This window comes from Homo sapiens, chromosome 3 (genome assembly GCF_000001405.40).
Source record: "Homo sapiens chromosome 3, GRCh38.p14 Primary Assembly".
In the NCBI taxonomy this organism is placed as follows: domain Eukaryota; kingdom Metazoa; phylum Chordata; class Mammalia; order Primates; family Hominidae; genus Homo; species Homo sapiens.
In genome coordinates, this window is record NC_000003.12 from 13,393,983 (window position 1) to 13,412,256 (window position 18,274).

The 18,274-nt window shown below is 49.8% G+C and overlaps 1 protein-coding gene across 5 annotated transcripts in view, besides 3 other annotated features; it reads right to left on the bottom strand.

Moving 5' to 3' along the window:
• NUP210 (nucleoporin 210) overlaps positions 1 to 18,274 on the bottom strand; it is a 104,088-nt gene that overhangs the window by 77,748 nt on the left and 8,066 nt on the right. For all 5 annotated transcript variants that reach the window (XR_007095651.1, NM_024923.4, XM_011533538.3 and 2 more), the window contains exons 2-3: positions 5,743 to 5,879; positions 3,375 to 3,506 (exon numbers count right to left, since the gene is read on the bottom strand). Coding sequence is in view for 4 of the 5 variants with exons in the window: in NM_024923.4 (NP_079199.2) it covers positions 3,375 to 3,506; positions 5,743 to 5,879 (269 nt within the window). In the remaining variant the exon portion in view is untranslated. The remainder of the gene's footprint in view (positions 1 to 3,374; positions 3,507 to 5,742; positions 5,880 to 18,274) is intronic.
• Positions 5,355 to 5,886: an enhancer, noted in NCBI's record as "H3K27ac-H3K4me1 hESC enhancer chr3:13440837-13441368 (GRCh37/hg19 assembly coordinates)". NCBI's record gives its function as "activates a minimal SCP1, AML or CMV promoter by ChIP-STARR-seq in primed H9 embryonic stem cells {active_cell/tissue: H9 hESC(primed)}" and the evidence as "EXISTENCE:reporter gene assay evidence [ECO:0000049][PMID:30033119]".
• Positions 5,887 to 6,416: an enhancer, noted in NCBI's record as "H3K27ac-H3K4me1 hESC enhancer chr3:13441369-13441898 (GRCh37/hg19 assembly coordinates)". NCBI's record gives its function as "activates a minimal SCP1, AML or CMV promoter by ChIP-STARR-seq in primed H9 embryonic stem cells {active_cell/tissue: H9 hESC(primed)}" and the evidence as "EXISTENCE:reporter gene assay evidence [ECO:0000049][PMID:30033119]".
• Positions 7,459 to 7,959: an enhancer, noted in NCBI's record as "H3K27ac hESC enhancer chr3:13442941-13443441 (GRCh37/hg19 assembly coordinates)". NCBI's record gives its function as "activates a minimal SCP1, AML or CMV promoter by ChIP-STARR-seq in primed H9 embryonic stem cells {active_cell/tissue: H9 hESC(primed)}" and the evidence as "EXISTENCE:reporter gene assay evidence [ECO:0000049][PMID:30033119]".

Below are 18,274 nucleotides of genomic sequence, written 5' to 3' on the forward strand. Positions count from 1 at the left end.
CAGAAGAATGAACTGATTTCAGTTATGTCTTCCTAGTGCTGACCTTGACAAGCCACAGTAGAAAATGTCTTGTATCCCAGGGCAGGGGGCACTGCAGAACTGAGGGACATCGAAGGGAAGAACAAGTCCCACCTTGGGCAGCCAAGGAGGGCTCCCTGGAGGAGGGGACACCTGAGAGGCAATGCCAGAGGAAGCATGGCTTCTGAAAGCAGAGTTCAGGAGGGGAAGGTGCTCCAGGCAGAAGAGATGGGATAAGGAAAGGTGAGGAGGGGGCATCTTTGGATACCCTGAGCTAGTCCAGTTCTGCTGATGCAAGAGGCACGGGTGGGCCAGGAAATAGCTGTGAAAACCTCTGCTCAAAGTTTTGCTTTTTCCACGCAAAAAGAAGCTATTAGTACCTACTATGTGCAACAGACAGAGCCCTGTCTGGAGGCGGGCACTCTGCAGGTGGCTTCTGGCCAAAAGGGCAGATCCCAGCCATGTGGGGAGGGCCCCCAATGCCCAGGAAAATGCAGCAGTAGGAGACAGGCAGTGCATCCAGCGGGAAACAGCTCAGGCGACAGAGTCAGACATCCTGGATCCCAGGCCCTGCTCAGCCACCCATGAGCTGTGTGACCATGGGCAAGTTACTGAAGCTCTCTGAGCCTCAGCTTCCTCATCTATATAGTGGGCATGAGACCATTTATAAGCACAATAAGACATTGTACTTACTAAGGGGACAACCTACTGCCTGGCATCCATGGGCAGCCAGGGTGCCACTGTTCGTTGAGCAATTCTCTTTCTTGACATTCATCAATACAGATAAGGCACATCATTTCTGGGACTGCCCTCAAAGGTTCTAAGGATCAAGTTCATCTTCACAGAGGAGACTCTGATCAGAAAAGAGGTCACAGGCTCAGAAAAAAAGGCAAAAGAAATGATGAAGGTACTCATCAAAGTATTTCGGGGCGAGGAGGACCAAGTAGAAAGCATGATGCCCTCACAGTGGGCGAGGAGGGAAGTTATCCATTTCCTTGCTGCAAAGGTGGGGCCTTGACATGGGCTACTGGTGAATGACCCAGTCTGTGGAGACCAGGTGACGTCCTACTCTGGAACTGGCTGCAGGGGCCATCAACCCTCCAGGAGAGGGGGGAGTGTGAGAGGAAACCATCCAGGGCTGCTGGGCACCATCCTGGCATAACAGTGGCCTGGGAAGGCTGAGGCAGGCACCTCCCCAATCCCGACATCCCCACCACCTACCTGGGGAGAATGGATACACATTCAAGAAAAAGTGACTTAAAGGGGGTTTAACTAGAACCACAAGGATGAGCAATAGCAAGTGCTGGCCAGGACGTGGAGATCATGGCACCTTCACACACTGCACCCAGGAATCTGAAACAGGCTGGAGTGCAATGGTGCCATCTCGGCTCACTGCAGCCTCCGCCTCCTGGGCTCAAGCGATTCTCTTGCCTCAGCCTCCTGAGTAACTGGGACTACAGGTGTGCGCCACCACGCCTGGCTTATTTTTATATTTTTAGTAGAGACAGGGTTTCACCATGTTGGCCAAGCTGGTCTCGAATTCCTGACCTCGAGTGATCTGCCCGCCTCGGCCTCCCAAAGTGCTGGAATTGCAGGCATGAGCCACTGCGCCCAGCCTGTATTTCCTTCTTTTTGTGGCTAAATAATATTCCATTGCAGGGGTCGACCGTGTTTTGTTTTTCCACTCATCCGTTGATGGACTCTTGGGTTGTCTTCACACTTGGCGGTTATGAATAATGCTGTTATGAGCATTCACATGTGAACATGTGTTTTCTGGTCTCTTGGGCAGGAGTGGAATTGCCGGGGCACAGGATAACTCTGTGTTTAACTGTTTGGGAGCTGCCAGGTACTTCTTTCCCTATAGCAACACTGGTGCCTGGACAATGCCCAGTTTGTACAAAGTGCTCAGAGAAACACCCCCTGGCTTACTGAGTACTCACGCAAGACCGAACACTGTACATATTTCTCACTAAGTCCTTATGGTCCCCAGGACAAGCATCACTATCTCAATCTCACAGGTCAGAAGGCAGTGTCAGAGGTTAAGGGCCTCATCTGATGAATGGGTAAGCGGGGAAGAAAGGGTCTGCTAGTGCTCTAAACAGTGGTTTGGCCCCCCAGGGACATTTGGCCATGTCTGGGCCATTTTTGATTGTCATGGCTTGGGAGACACTACTAACATCTAGTACGTAGAGGCCTGGGATGCTGCTGAACATCCTATAATGCACTGACAGCCCTCATCACAAAGAATTACTCAACCCCAAATGTCAATCAATACTATCTAGGCTAAGAAATCCTGATCCAGAAATTTTTTTTCAAAAACAGGAGCTAGAGTTGTCAGAAAAGGTTTCAAAGACAAAGTGAGCCTTGGTTTGGACTTGGTTTGGGGGCAGATCATCTGAAAGGCATCTTTTGCCTGACTTTTATTTTCTCTGACAAGAATTTTAACCTACAAAGTTTCCCTTACTGGCCAGGTGCGGTGGCTCATGTGTGTAATCCCAGCACTTTGGGAGGCTAAGCCGGGTGGATCATCTGAGGTCAGGAGTCCAAGACCAGCCTGGCCAACTTGGTGAAAACCCGTTTCCACTAAAAATACAAAAAAAAAAAAAAAAATTAGCTGGGCTTGGTGGCAGGCACCTCTAATCCTAGCTACTTGGGAGGCTGAGGTAGGAGAATCGCTTGAACTCAGGAGGCAGAGGTTGCAGTAAGCCAAGATCGCACCACTGCACTCCAGCCTGAGCAACAAGAGCAAGACTCTGTCTCAAAAAAAAAAAAAAAAAAAAAAGTTTCCCTTACTTCCTTTAAGAGATCACCTAGAAGAGTTCCAGCCTGGAAACAAGCCCATATTTGACTCTGGCAAGGTGAAGATGTGAGGGCAGTGCCCTGGGCCGGCAGCATAAATGTGACCTGACCCACAAACATGCTCTGAGGTCTGGAACAGGAAGCCACCACTGGCCCTAAGAGCCAGAGCAGGGAGCCTCTCCCTGCCTCCCATCGCTGCCAAGAATGCTAGCTTCCCCAAGATGTGCTGCACCAAGGACCAGCACTATGCAGGCAGGGTCTGGCTCCAGGGTCACAGAGCCACAGCTCTGAGCACACAGGCCCCACTGCAGGGGTTCCTGAGGGCCAGGAGTGACCATGATTCGACACCACCGAGGGCTTGAGGCCCACCTCAGAGGTGGTTTCTGCCTCTTCAGCATCTCCCCCAGCACCAACTTCACCTGCCTGACCAGAGCTGCCCTCTAGGGACCTGCAGGGTTGGATGCCAGAGGAGTGGGGAATGCAGAGAGGCCAGAGTCATGGTGGGGGGATGATCTAGCATGGGCTGCAGAAGACAAACAGGCAGGGGACGTTCTCACCTTCGGAGTCCAGGGCCTGGATCTTCAGCTCCAGGGGGGAGTCCTCCAGGTAGAGCTCGCGGGTGGTGGAGACGATCTGGATGTCATGGATGAGGTCCACAATGGCATCACAGCGCAGGACCTGGCCTGTGGCTGGAGGAACCCCAGGAAGGGGTCAGCACCAAAGACAGTCCCCGCCCCTGGCTCCACTTCCAAGCCTTGCAGGCTTACACTCTGGCAAAGACCACGGCAACCACCAGCTTCACCCTCAGAAGCCAAGCAGCTGCCTCACACATGGCCCCACTGACAGTTAACAGGGACTACCAGAAAGAAAGGGCTGTGGGGGCCTTGTCACCACCCATTCTGGCTTTTCCAGCAGGGCACCAGCATTTAAAGCTGTGGGCAAAAAAAACTCCAGGAAAACTTAGTTTCGTTCAGGGTGTAAGCATTCCGTGAAGTGACAAGGGTTATAGTATGATGAGTTCCCATCCCAAAGACGAGAACCCTGTCCCTTCACTGAGATTAGGGATTACGCTGGTGGTTTTTGGTTTTCACATATGCTGGTGTTTTTATAAAAGACTATCAAGTATAGTACAGAAGGGGCTGGTGGGCACACCCAGAGATTTTTTTACTTGCTCCATAAATAAGGTATGTAAATGGCATTACCTGGGGAACCCTCAAGTGTAAGGATAGCAGCAAGAGATACAAAATTGTTCTGACCATTCTCCAGGTACCATATAAAAATGCTTGTGCACTTTAGTGTGGTTTTCTTGCACAGCAATACGGTCCCATGTATCAAAAGCCTTAAAAGTATTCAAGGTTGGCCAGGTGTGGTGGCTCACGTCTGTAATCCCAGCACTTTGGGAAGCCAAGGCAGGTGGATCACTTGAGGTCAGGAGTTCAAGACCAGCCTGGCCAACATGATGAAACCCCATCTTTATTAAAAATACAAGAAAAATTAGTCAGGCATGGTGGCACATGCCTACAATCCCAGCTACTTGGGAGGCTGAGGCAGAAGAATTGCTTAAACCCGGGAGGCAAAGGTTGCAGTGAGCCAAGAACACACCACTGCACTCCAGCTGGGTAACTCCATCTCAAAAAATAAAAATAAAAATATTCAAAGCTGTGGCCCAGAAAAACTGGGAATTTATCTTAAGAAATAATGTAAAAGAATTCTAATTTGTTCTCTATATAAAAACATTTATTTTTATATGTAACACTGAAACAAACATCTGAAAACACTCTAAATGCCCAATACAAGGGAATGCTTATAGGACAACCTCCTGTTAAGAATATTATTTGGGCCGGGTGTGGTAGCTCACACATGTAATTCCGCCACTGTGGGAGGCCAAGGCAGAAGGGTTGCCTGAGCCCAGGAGTTTGAAACCAGCCTGGACAACACAGGGAGACGCCCAACTCGCCACAAAAAATTTTACAAATTAGCTGGGCATGGTGGCATGCACCTGTGGTGGTCCCAGCTATTAAATACTTGAGAGGCTGAGGCAGGAGGATTGCTTGAGTCCAGGAGGTTGAGGCTGCAGTCAGCAGTGTTGGAGTCACTGCATTTCAGCCTGGGTGACAGAGTAAGTCACTGTCTCAAAACAGCAACATAAAAAAGAGAATATTATTCAGCATTAAAAATCACTGTATGGGCCAGGTGCGGTAGCTCCCGCCTGTAATCCCAACACTTTGGGAGGCTGAGGTGGGTGGATCATGAGGTCAGGAGTTCGAGACCAGCCTGGCCAACTTGGTGAAACCCGTCTCTATTGAAAATACAAAAATTAGCCGGGTGTGGTGGCGCATGCCTGTAGTCTCAACTACTCGGGAGGCTGAGGCAGGAGAATCACTTGAACCCAGGAGGCGGAGGTTGCAGTGAGCCAAGATCGCGCCACTGCACTCCAGCCTGGGCGACAGAGCAAGACTCTGTCTCAAAAAAAAAAAAAAAAAAAAAAATCATTGTATGGTAAAATGGAACATGTCCTATAATCTAAGTAGGGAAAAGCATGATAGAAAATTATATTGTTGTTGTCAAACTATTTTACAACTAATATAATAAATTAGATATGGGGAAGGAAAAGGAGTGATCTCACAGATTAGGACAACTGTCATAGTAATGAGTTGCTACCCATTAAGAGTTATTTAGGTAACAAATAATAATTTAGAAATTTAGCAAGCCAGCCTCCACAAAAGGGAACACGGTACGAAGTGCTGGCACAAGGCTTGGGATGGGTGTTGCCTGCTGGGTGCCTGTCTCCTGCCTGGGTGTCCTGCCACTCAACAAGAGAAAGCCCTGCCATGGGCTCAGGTAGCCTCTAGGACCCTGGGTCTTAGTGGGCGTTTCCCTGTCTCTGGCTCCCACCGGGGATCACACACAGCACTCAGCCCTTACTGATGTCCTCTGCGAAGATGATGCTGGTGAGGCGGGCAGGCTGGGTCAGGCGGGCCTGCACCACTGCCTTCTGGGAGCACTGCTGCTCGTCCAGGCCCAGCGGCTCGATGCTGGCCACCTCCGGCCGGGTGGACAACCTGCAGTGGAAGAAGACAGCATTTACTCTCTGGAGCTGCACTGCAAGGCACAGTGGGGTCCAGACACCAGGCTGTGGCACCCGTCTAGGGCGCAGTCCTGGACCCAAAGACAGAAGTGAGGTGGGCCACCTAACACCAGCTTCAAACCCAGAGGAGACGTGGGGCCCTGCCAAGGCCTCTCCAGTTAAGACCTCCACAAGCTGAGGGCTCCAGGCCTGTGCACACAGTTCCCATGGAGCAAATCAAACAGGAGACCTCACACCTGGAAATGACCTCAAGGCTCAACAGATGGCCACCGTCCAAGACTCCTGCAGATGTGGGAGTCGTTCAGTACCAGCAGGAAAGCTGCTCAAGGGATCCCATGAGGGACACGTTGCACAGGGAGGGGGCACAGGCATCTCGACCGACCTCTAGCCCAGGCCTGGCGCACAGCAGGCTCCAGGCATCAGCTTCCAACCCCAACGGGTTCCACTAACCCTGGGGATCACTACCTGTAATGATAAACACAACCATGAGCTCCCAGTGCCTGCGGAGCGGATATTATAGCCACAGTGGGGAGACAGACAGATAAACACATCCACAAATGAGCCCAGACGTCTGTGAGCCAATTTCCCCAGGGAGGATAACAGGAGGAAGGATAACAGGAATGTGTGGGGAAAGCTATCTGCTGTCAGCGCCTCAGTTTCTCATCCATGGCCCAGGATAACTGCCCCAGGCCCAGGTGAGAAGGTGACGAGAGGCAGAGGACAGCAGACTCCACACTGAGCGTGCCCAGCTAGCATGTGCTGTCTACAGACAGGCTCTCAGGCCTAGTGTACAGGGCCTCCAAAAGAATGCCACCAGGATCTGGGGTGAAGCAGGGCCATGGAAAGCGGCTGGCCATGCTGCCCTCAGAGAGTTTATAGTGTGACCAAGGCCCCAGGAGGGGCCACTAAGCCGTGCCTGGCGCTTGTCTCTCGGGGCCGCACCCGGCACAGCACCCGACACAGAGCAGACACTCCGGGGTCTCTGCATCCTCCCTAACTTTGCCTAAACTCACTGGAACATCCACAGCCACGAGTATTCTGAAGGAGACTTGTCAGAAACTGCCTGGTGTCAAAAAGCAATGGTGCGTGGCCAGGCGCAGTGGCTCATGCCTGTAATCCCAGAACTTTGGGAGGCCGAGGTGGGCAGATCACCAGAGGTCAGGAGTTCGAGACCAGCCTGACCAAGTTGGTGAAACCCTGTATCTACTAAAAATACAAAAAATTAACCAGGCTTGGTGGCAGGTACCTGTAATCCCAGCTACTCGGTAGGCTGAGGCAGGAGAATCGCTTGAACCCGGCAGGCGGAGGCCTGCAGTGAGCCAAGATCAAGCCATTGCATTCCAGCCTGGGCAACAGAGTGAGACTCTGGCTCAAAAAAAAAAAAAAAAAAAAAGGCAATGGTGCGGAACACACCTAGGCAGATGTCCCGCCTTCTGGCTGGATGCCAAGTGTCTTCCCTGGGCCAAGCCAGCACAAGGCCCCTTCCAACACACCTGAGCATGCCGACCACTCCGACACCACCTGGCCACAATGGGCTGCGGCAGGAGGCCTCCAGATGGACCTTGGAAGTTCACGGAAAATGAGCTGCATCCATCAGTGAAGGAAAGCAATCTACACCCCGGAGGAAGTGTGTCTGTGGCCCCTTGTGGATTTCTTCCAGGAAAATAGCATGGCACAGAGTCGAGGAACACAGCAAAGCAGGCACAAGCCCACACAGGAGACAAGAAGCAGGTGCCTATGAACCCGGCCCATACCCACTGGAAACACTCCGTCCAACCATCCAAATGCTGACAGCACTAGTGCCCTACGGTGTTTTTCGAGGGGCTTTAAACTTCCCATACACAAGCACACACAAGAGTGTGGAAACAAGGACAAATTAGAAAATTCACACAGGGCAGTAGAGGCTAAGGAAACTCAACAAATCCTGGGTCCTAGATTCGATCTGGGGGCAGAAAAAGGAGCCTGTACTTACTACTGAATTTTGCCATAAACCTAAAACTGCTTTAAAAAAAAAAAAGTCTACTCTGCCAGGTGCAGTGGCTCATGCCTCTAATCCTAACACTTTGGGAGGCTGAGGTGGGAGGATCATTTGAGCCCAAAAGTTCAAGACCAGGCTGGGCAACAAAGTGAGACGCCATCTCTACAAAAAAAAATTTTTTTAATTAGCCAGTTATGGTGGTGTGCACCTGTGGTCCCAGCTACATGGGAGGCTGTGGGAGGGAGGATCCCTTGAGCCCAGGAGTTCAAGGCTGCAGTGAGTTGTGATTGTGTCAATGCACTCTGCCTGAGTGAGAGAATGAGGTCCCGTCTCAAGCAAACAAACAAGTAGAATAAATGAATAAATATAAAGAATAAAGAAAATAAAGTCTATGGGGGGAAAAGAGAATTCATCATTTCCCACTCCTGCCTTTAAAAACACTGTGGTATGTATCATTCGATGGCCCCTGGGAACTGGGATCTGGGGTCCTGGTCTGGCCTGTAAATCCCACACCCTCTCCTAGCCTCTGTCTCCTCAACAAAATAGAGATAACCACTCTTTTCTTGCTTCATAACAGCAGTGTATTAATCTCAGACACAGGCCCAATAAATGCAAACAGAGCTCTTCCTATCCAAGTAAAAGAAGCCTGAAATTCTCCTTGCAAAACTCCCCAAGCTCTTCCCTGGGCTGCCACACTGAGATGCCTGGACAGCCTGCAGAACCCGACTGCAGTGACCACACCTTTCATGTCCATGTAGCAGGGCTACATTAAGGACTCATACAAGCCTGAGATAGCCCTGCACAACAGACGTGTAACACAGGCCACGTTTTCATTTTCCGTCAAAAAAAAAAGTAACAGGTGAGATTAATTTTTAATAAACCTTGTTTTTTAAAGCAGTTTGAGGTGCACAGCAAAACTGAATAGAAAGTATAGATTTCCCATACATGCCCTGCCCCATGCATACACAACACTTCCCTCAACATCCCCACCAGAGTGGTGAATTGGTTACAATGGAGGAGGCTGTGGTGACCTCACAATCACTCAGAACACTCGCAGCTGACATGAGGGTGCACAGTCGGCATCCCATGTCCTGTAAGTTTGGACAGATGGATAACAGCCCACACCTGCCATGGCAGTATCCTTCGGAACAGCACCACTGCCCTAAAAGTCCCCTGCACTCTGCCTATTCCTCCATTTTTAAATCCCTATTAAAAAGTCATATTTTTAAGAAAATACGTGATTTACCCCAACATATCCTAAATATCATGCTTCTGACATGTAGTACTGGCTGCATTTTCAGAGCTCACAGTCACACGTCTTAGTCTTTTGGGGCTGCCATGACAAAACATCACAAACAGGGTTTTTCCAACAACAGAAATGTATTGCTCACAGTTCTGGAGGCTGGCAGTCCAAGATCAGCTGGCATACTAGGTGTCTAGTGAGGGCCCACTTTCTGGGTCATGCCTGCTGTCTTCCCACTGTTGTCACATGGCAGAAGGGGCGAGGGAGCTCTCTGGGGCCTTTTGTATAAGGGCACTAATCCCAACCATGAGGGCCCCACCCTCATGACCCCATCACCTCCCAAAGGTGCTACCTCAAATGCCATCGCCTTGGGGATCCTCAAATGCCATCGCCTTGGGGATGAGGTGTCAACACATGAGTCTGAGGGGACACAGACATTCGTTCACGTGGTGAGTGGTTCCAATGCTGGCCTGGCTCTGAGGCCTGGCCTCCTGGTGGAGGGCCGTGCAGGCGCAGGGCTCTCATGTCCTGGGGTCTCTGTGGACACCTCTGACCCCTGCCCAGGCTCTACTTGGGAGGCAGCGGGTGCTAAATGCTCTTGTGACCTTCTTAAGAAAGTCCCTCCTCTCAGCACTGACGACAGAGCCTGGGGGAGAGAGAAAGCAGCCTGGCCTGGCCTGGGAAGGCTTGCCTCAGCCATCTAAGGTGGCTCCCACCCTTCAGGCCCCAGGGCCTGGGGCTTGATCCCTGCATCCCCTCTTCAGCTGGCTGAGCTCTGTGCAACAGGAGTAAGATTCCATCCACCCAGGGCTTCCTCACAAGCAGACCGGGCCACGTCTGGCCTCTGCAGATCCCCGCTCCCCTGGGGCCTGCTCTCTCTGGGTCAGGACCTGCATGGGAATCAGGGGCAGCCCATCCCAACACCTCCTGGAGGCTGCAGGCAGCTCACGCTGGTTTTCCTGTGACCAGTGTGAGTGTTCCTTTCAGTTATCTGACTTCCTTCCCGGGCATTTTGAGCCCACCCATAGCTTTGGGCATGTCTTTAAGGGACACAAAAGAACTGCAACAGCCACCAATTCCGTCCTCATCTGTAAGGCAGGCCCCCCACCCACCCTGCCTTCCTCACAGGGGTGTGTAATGCTGGATGAAAAAGCACAACAGAAAGTGTCTGCCAGAGAATTACAGAGGGAAAGGTTTGCACCAAACTCAAAATAGAGAAGGTGGAAGTGGAAATGGTGGGGGTAGTAAGGAGGAATTCACTTTTATTCAGAAGGCTTTATTTCTTTAAAAAAAGAATGGAAACCAATATAGGTTGTTACACAATGGCTAATTCTGATGGTAGGAATATGGGTATTCATTACATTATTATTTCTTTTCTGTGTTATTCTAACTTCTAAATGAAAATATCTTCCCCCTAATGTTAGTTGTAACTTAAAGAACTACTGCTATGTCCTCATCTTACAGATCGGTAAACTGAGGCTTAGGAAAACGGGACTGGTTTAAGGCCACAGAGGCCAGGCTAGGACACAGGGGTTCTAAGCCCAAAAGCAGGATACTTTCTGCTATCAGGGCCACGCAGAAGCGCCCTCCCTCCGAAGGGCTGTCTCTGCCCCTCACAGCTTTCCAGGATGGGCCTTAGAAAAACCCTATAGGTGTCCCTGGAGATTCAGGCTGGCTCTTTCCCAGGCTGGGAATGAAAGAGCTGGCCAGTCATGTGCAAGTCGGGAATGTTTCTGTTTCCAGGATCTGGGGAGAGAAGAATTACATCTACATGGAGGGAGGGTGGGTAATTCTTCACAGACATGGTAGTTGATCAAACCAACCCAGGCAAAGAGAGACAGGGAGTGCAGGAGGAGATAAGAGAGGTGAGGGCAGGCAGGAACAGTTCGTTTCTGGAGACCACTGAGATATCCAAGGACTGTTTTTTATTAAAATAAAAGTGTGCTGGTGGAGTGTGAGGATTAACTTTACATGTTAACTTGACTGAGCCACAGTGACCAGATATTTGGTCAAACACTAATCTGGCCATTTCTCTGAGGGTGTTTTTGGATGAGATTAGCATTTGAATCTGTGGCCTGGGTAAAGTAGATGCCACCTAATGTGGGTGGGCCTCATCCAATCAGGTAACGGCCTGAACAGAACAAAAGCCTGAGCAAGGAGAATTCCCGCTCTGGGCCTCGCAGTCATTGAGTGGGGATGTCAGCATCCCTGCCTTCAGACTCGAGCTGAAACATAGGCTCTTCTGGGTCTTGAGCCTGCTGGCCTTCAGACTAAAACTAAACCATCAGCTCTCCTGAGATTCCAGCTGAATGCAGCTCTTAGGACTTGTCAGCCTCTATAATCATATAAGCTAATCCCTTATACTAAACCTCTCATATACATATGAGGGGGTGTGTGTATAAGATATATATATATAGGCTATATATATAGCCTATTGAATATATGCATATGAGCTATATATATATGACATATATGTCCTATTGGTTCTGTTTCTTCAGAAAACCCTGACTAATCAGGGAGGGTATAAGAAATGAGAAGGGCAACTGAGGAAAGGAAAGGGCACCATGTATCAGGCCCAGAGCTAAACACTTCTATTTATCACTGAATCCTCCACCAGCCCTGTATGGGAAAACCAAACTGAGGCTCAGAGTGGTTAAGTAATTTGCCCAAAGCCACACAGCTGTCAGCAGCAGGGCCAACTATCGCAGCTAGGCCTGGGTGACTCCAGATCAGATACCTCTCCCATTCCAGGAGCATTTTCCTCAGGATATGACACACCCACCAGTTTAGATGATGCACAGATGAGCTATTTTTTAACAGACTCATTATGCATTTTAACTATTACATATTCATTTAAGTGTTTTAGGAAAAACAAATGTACCAAACTCATGAGCTCATAAATGTTAATACGAAAGATAATGTCAATGTTTTTTAAAAAGTGAGTCATTTTGAAGGAAATGTTCAGTAAATTCTAGTATAGGTAGTACATAAAAGCAGCAGCATTTTAATGGTGGCAGTGAAGTGACTGCAGTCCCCACTACCCACTACTGAGGCACACCTCGGGGAAGTGTGGGTCCAGGGAAGAGGGGAACCGAGCCCTGCAACGCCAGCCATGCCTTCCCTCTGGTACAGAGTCTGATATAAGCTGCCATTCTCCAATTTCTGGGAGCACAGGGGCAGGGTAATGTCCTACACTGATATCAGGAACTCTAAACACCAGATGGGCCTCTCCCTGGTTGGCTGGGACCCACCGTGAGGAACAGAGGAACCACTGGAAGAGGCACGTGGCTACAACAGCTAACACAGTCCCTGACCAGTACAGGCTCTGGGCCATAGGTGGCCCATGTAGCCACTCAGCCCATACTCAAAACCGGGTCTGGAGACACAGCACTCAAGGACACACAGGGGCTCACTAAGCAGAAAAGGCAGGGTCTGCACATAGGGCTCACTGGCTGAGATGCCAACACTTTCATCTGCCACCCACCGAAGCCAGGTCAGCCAGCTCATAGCCCAGTTCACTTGGATTCCACATCAAGTTTGGCCAAAGAAACAGAGTCCGGCGACTTTTCTGAGGAAAAGCCCTCCCCTGCCCATCCAGTCTAAATGAATAGCCACTCCTCTAAAAGGACACTTGGTCCTCTTACCTGCACACCTGTCCTTCTTCTCTGCACCTCAGCAGGTGGGCGGCATGTCTGCCCTACCCTCCCACTCACCAACACCTCTGCCCCAACCCCCCCCACCCCCCACACGGCACACATGGCAGGTTTCATAGTCGGGAGTGGTGCGTGTGGCTTTCCCAGGGACCCCTCATGTAGTGCAGCAAGTAGCCCTCGGGGATGGGGACGTGGCTCACTCGGTTCTCTCATCTGTTGGTATCTGTGGAATGGGAGGTCGTAAGACAGACAGGTGCTGCCACTCACCAGCTGCGTGATCTTGACCAAATGAGCTAACCTCCCTGGGCTGCCACATCCTCATCTGCACAATAGGAATGAAAATAGCACCTATACAAAGCACTGGGCTGGGATAATATATATCAAGCTCTTCTCACAGCTCTCAGATCTAGGAAAAAGGAGGGGGCTCCCAAATGAAGGAGTTGTGGTCCTGCAATGTTTGGGATGATTCTGACCACAAGAACTTTGCTTTTTAAAGAAAGGAGAAAAGCTGGGCGCAGTGGCTTGTGCCTATAGTTCCAATTATGCAGGAGGATGGCTTGAGCCCAGGAGTTCAAGGCATTGTGATTACTCCTGCTTGAACCTGTCCTTCCTCTTCCCTGAAGCCTGACCCTAAAGCCCTAGGGTCAGGGCCCTCCTCACAGGCCTCCCAATGATACCACCAAGGCATCCTTAAAGCCTGAATCAAAGATTCAGGCCCAAAACAGAGTTATTGGCCCAAGGTGGCACTGCTGGAAAGAGCCTGAACCACCTGCCATCAAATCTAACCTCTTTTCCAAAGCCCCTGCCTCCCACTCCTCCCTCCCTCCCAGCTTCTCCACCTCTATTCCTCTGCTGATGCTGGTCCCTCCACCTCACATGACCTCTTGACCCACAGGTATGCTGTCCAACCTTCTTAGCTCACCAAACACAGCAACTCTTCCATGGACTGTCCCTATCTGCAACACCCATGCCCCTCCTATCAGCTCCCATGGCACCGCTGGTCCTCCTTGAGGTCTTTAAGGCATTCATCCACTTATTGAAACCATAAATACTGGGCTATTAGTGATATTTAAGGTAGTGTTCTAGGTGCCAAGGACACAACTAAGTACAGACTACACATTAACCTCTATCTTCACGGAGCTTTCACTTTAGTGGAAGGAGAACAAAAACAGACAAAATGAGTGAATGAAGATGGGATCTTAGTAATGGCTAAGGACAGATAAAATGCTGGGAGGGCCAGGGCTGCCATCTTCCATGGACACTCAGAGGAGGCATCACTGAGGGGGCACTGTGCAAGCAGAGACTTTAAGGACAGGCAGGCATGGACTCTATCAGGTGTGGGTGGTGAATGTTCATCCATGGAGACAAATACATGGCTTTTCTTCTTTATTCTGTTAATATGGTCATTACACTGATTTTTTAAAAATATTGAACCAACCTTGCATTCCTGGGATATGCCCTACCAGATCATGATATATTAGTCTTGTTTATTTTTCTGGATTTGATTAGCTAGTATTTTAAAAAATTGTGCTTTTGGTCTGTGGGATTTTTTTTTTCTTATAATGCTTTCATCTGGTTTGCAATGGGTGTAATGTTGGCCTCATAAAAGTGAATTAGGAAACAATTGCTCCTTCTCTCTCTCCTGAGAGTCTGTAAAGAACCTGTATCATTTCTTCCTTAAATCTTTCACAGAATTTACAGACAAGGCCATCTGGGCTTACAGTTTTCTTTATGAAAAGGTTTTTAGGCCAGGTGCCATGGCTCATGCCTATAATCCCAGCACTTTGGGATGCCAAGGCATGTGGATCATGAGATCAGGAGTTCAAGACTAGCCTGACCAACATGGTGAAGCCCTGTCTCTACTAACAATACAAAAATTAGCCAGGCATCATGGCGTGCACCTGTAATTCCAGCTACTAAGGAGGCTGAGGCAGGAGAATCGCTTGAACTCAGGAGGCAGAGGTTGCTGTGAGCTGAGGTCGCACCACTGCACTCCAGCCTGAGTGACAGGGAGAGACTCTGTCTCAAAAAAAAAAAAAAAAAAGGTTTTTAATTACAAACTTAATTTTATCAAATGTACCAAGTGGAACAGAAGGCATCTAGGGCTGCATACTCTGCAAGTGTTTTCAGGGCATCCCAAAAGCTCCGTGCAGCAGCAGGTCTCATGTGACCACCTGACGGCTGCTGAGACTGAGCTCTGGTGCTGTCACATGGCCAGGCTGCCTCCTCAAAGGCACCTGACTCTGTTCTGCTCAATGTCCTCCCTCATCACACCAGCTCCCCTGTAAGTCCAGGGTCTGTAGGCCTCCCCTGCCCTTCCCACAAACAGCTGTCAACAGGCAAGCAGCTGACCTGTGAGTGCCATTTCTGTGGGGGACATGTGCTGGGTTTGGGCTGCCCAGCCTCCACATACCTTCCAGTAACAGCACTCAATTTTTCTGTAGGTGCCTGTCTGCTATGGTCTGAATGTCTGTGTCCTCCTGAAATCCAGATGTTGAAATCCTCACCTCTGAGGTGATGACATGTGTTAACAGGTGGGGCTTTTGGTGCGTGATTAGGTCATGATGTCTGAGCCCTCATGGATGGACTAAGCGCCTTTATAAAAGAGGTCCCACAGAGCTGCTCATCCCTTCCCACCATGAGAGGATGTCACAAGGAGTGAGCAGTCTAAAACCTGGAAGACAGCCTTCACCAGAACCTGACCATGCTGGTACCATCTTGAAACTTTCATTTATTCTATGCTTTCTTATGTGTCAATCACAGAGTGAAACATATCATGAACATTTCATTTGCTTCCAAACAATCCTATTAAAACCCCCATTTGATACATGAGGAATCCTTTGCATGGATGTTAAGTGACCTTCATGAAGCCACGTCCCTAGACATGGGCCTTAGTGTAGTCTAGCTCAGAACCCCTGGTCTGGACACTCTCCTGCTCCCTTGTGCTAGGGTACACGGAGTTCAAAACAAGGCCACAGGCCTCCCACCTTTACCTGGTGCTGCCTCCAGACCAAGCAGAAGGATGGCTTTAACATCCACCTGAATCAGCCCCCACCTCCAAATGTATCCTGAATACTAATTTTTTTTTTTTTGGAGACGGAGTCTCGTTCTGTCACCCAGGCTGGAGTGCAGTGGTACGATCTAGGCTCGCTGCAACCTCTGCCTCTTGGATTCAAGCAATTCTCCTGCCTCAGCCTCCCGAGCAGCTGGGACTACAGGTGCACGCCACCTGTAATTTTTAGCACGTCACCCAGCTAATTTTTTTTTTTTTTTTTGTATTTTAGTAGAAACGGTTTCACCGTGTTGCCCAGGCTGGTCTCTAAATCCTGAGCTCAGGCATTCTGCCTGCCTTGGCCTCCCAAAGTGCTAGGATTACAGGTGTGAGCCACTGTGCCCAGCTATTACTGATTTTTTTTTCCTTTTTCTTTTTCTTTTTGAGACAGAGTTTCACTCTTGTTGCCCAGGCTGGAGTGCAATGAGACAATCTCGGCTCACCGCAGCCTCCACCTCCCAGGTTCAAGTGATTCTCCTGCCTCAGCCTCCCGAGGAGCTAGGAAAAGGCATGTAGCACCATACCCAGCTAATTTTGTATTTTTAGCAGAAATGAGGTTTCTCCATATTGGTCAGGCTGGTCTCAAACTCCTGACCTCAGGTGATCCGCCCACCTTGGCCTCCCAAAGTGCTGGGATTACAGGCGTGAGCCACTGTGCCTGGCCAATACTGATTTTTAAAAGCACCACTGGGCCAGGCATGGTGGCTTATGCCTGTAACCCTAACACTTTGGGAGGCCAAGGTAGGAGGATCACTTGAGACCAGGAGTTTGAGACCAGACTAAGCAACAGTGAGACCCCATTTCTAAAAAAAAAAACAAAAAGGCCGGGCACGGTGGCTCACACCTGTAATCCCAGCACTTTGGGAGGCCGAGGCGGGTGGATCACGAGGTCAGGAGATCGAGACCATCCCGGCTAACATGGTGAAACCCCGTCTCCATTAAAAAATACAAAAAATTAGCCGGGCGTGGTGGCAGACGCCTGTAGTCCCAGCTACTTGGGAGGCTGAGGCAGGAGAATGGTGTGAACCCAGGAGGCGGAGCTGGCAGTGAGCTGAAATGGCACCACTGCACTCCAGCCTGGGTGACAGAGCAAGACTCTGTCTCAAAAAAAAAAAAAAAAAAAATTAGCCAGGTGTGGTGGCATGCACCTTTAGTCCCAGCACTTTGGGAGGCCAAGGTAGGAGGATTGCTTGAGGCCAGTAGTTTGAAACTAACCTGTGCAATAGTGAGTCTCTAAAAAATAATAATAATAAATAAAAATTTTAAAAATTAGCTGGGCGTGGTGGCTCACATCTATAGTCCCAACTACTCTAAAGGCTGAGGAGGGAGGATCACTTGAGCCCAGGAGTTTGAGGTTATAGTGAGCTATAATTGTGCCACTGCACTGCAGCCTGGGTGATAGAGCAAGAATCTGTCTCAGAAAAATAAAAGTACTACTGAAGTTTTAAAATCCAGCTGAAGGAAACTGGGTAAACCAACAATCATCTGAGAAGGGTGGCGCATTTCCCCAGGCATCTGAGAGTGAGTGTGGTTCTGGATCTGAGGCTGGTTTTGGACACAGCTCTGCCACTAACCAGCTGTGAGGCTCTTGGACCCAGGCTCCTCATTTGTACAGTGCAGTCATTCTTACCAAAGGAGTTTTGTTTATTGTTCATTTTTAGGATTAAGTGGGGGCATAGTATGCAAAGGGATTAACAGAAAAATTGGTTCTTTCATTTTGGCTCCCTCTGTCCATCCCCCCTGTCACCACCCCCACATCTCCTCTGCAACACTGGAAGCCCCTGCCTCTGGACCTGCAGGCTGTGGCCAGGAAGGGCAGTTGCCTAGACACCTGCACCTGCCGACGGCCCCTCCCCACCATCAGGCTCCTCTTGGTTGGACACCTGCCCTAGCCCAGTCACATACAGGTATGACTTGTATTCGTTTATTTACTTATTTATTTATTTGAGACAGTTTCACTCTTATCACCCAGGCTGGAGTGCAGTGATGCAATCTCAGCTCACTGCCACCTCCGCCTCCCGGGTTCAAGCAATTCTCCTGCCTCAGCCTCCCAGGTAGCTGGCATTATAAGCGCCCAGCACCACGCCCAGCTATTTTTTTTGTATTTTTAGTAGAGATGGGGTTTCACCATATTGGCCAGGCTGGGCTCGAACTCCTGACCTCAGGTGATCCGCCCTCCTCGGCCTCCCAAAGTGCTGGGATTACAGGCATGAGCCACTGCATCTGGCCAGCCACTGCACCCGGCCTAGTTTTTTTAATAGACAGGCTCTCACTCTGTTGCCCAGGCTGGAGTAGAGTGGTACAATCATGGATCACTGCAGCCTTGACCTTCTGGGTTTAAGCAATCCTCCTGCCTCAGCCTCAGGAGTAGCTGGGACCACAGGTGCCTGTGCCACACCCAGCTTTATTTTCCTTTTCTTTTTTTTTTTTTTTTAGTAGAGAC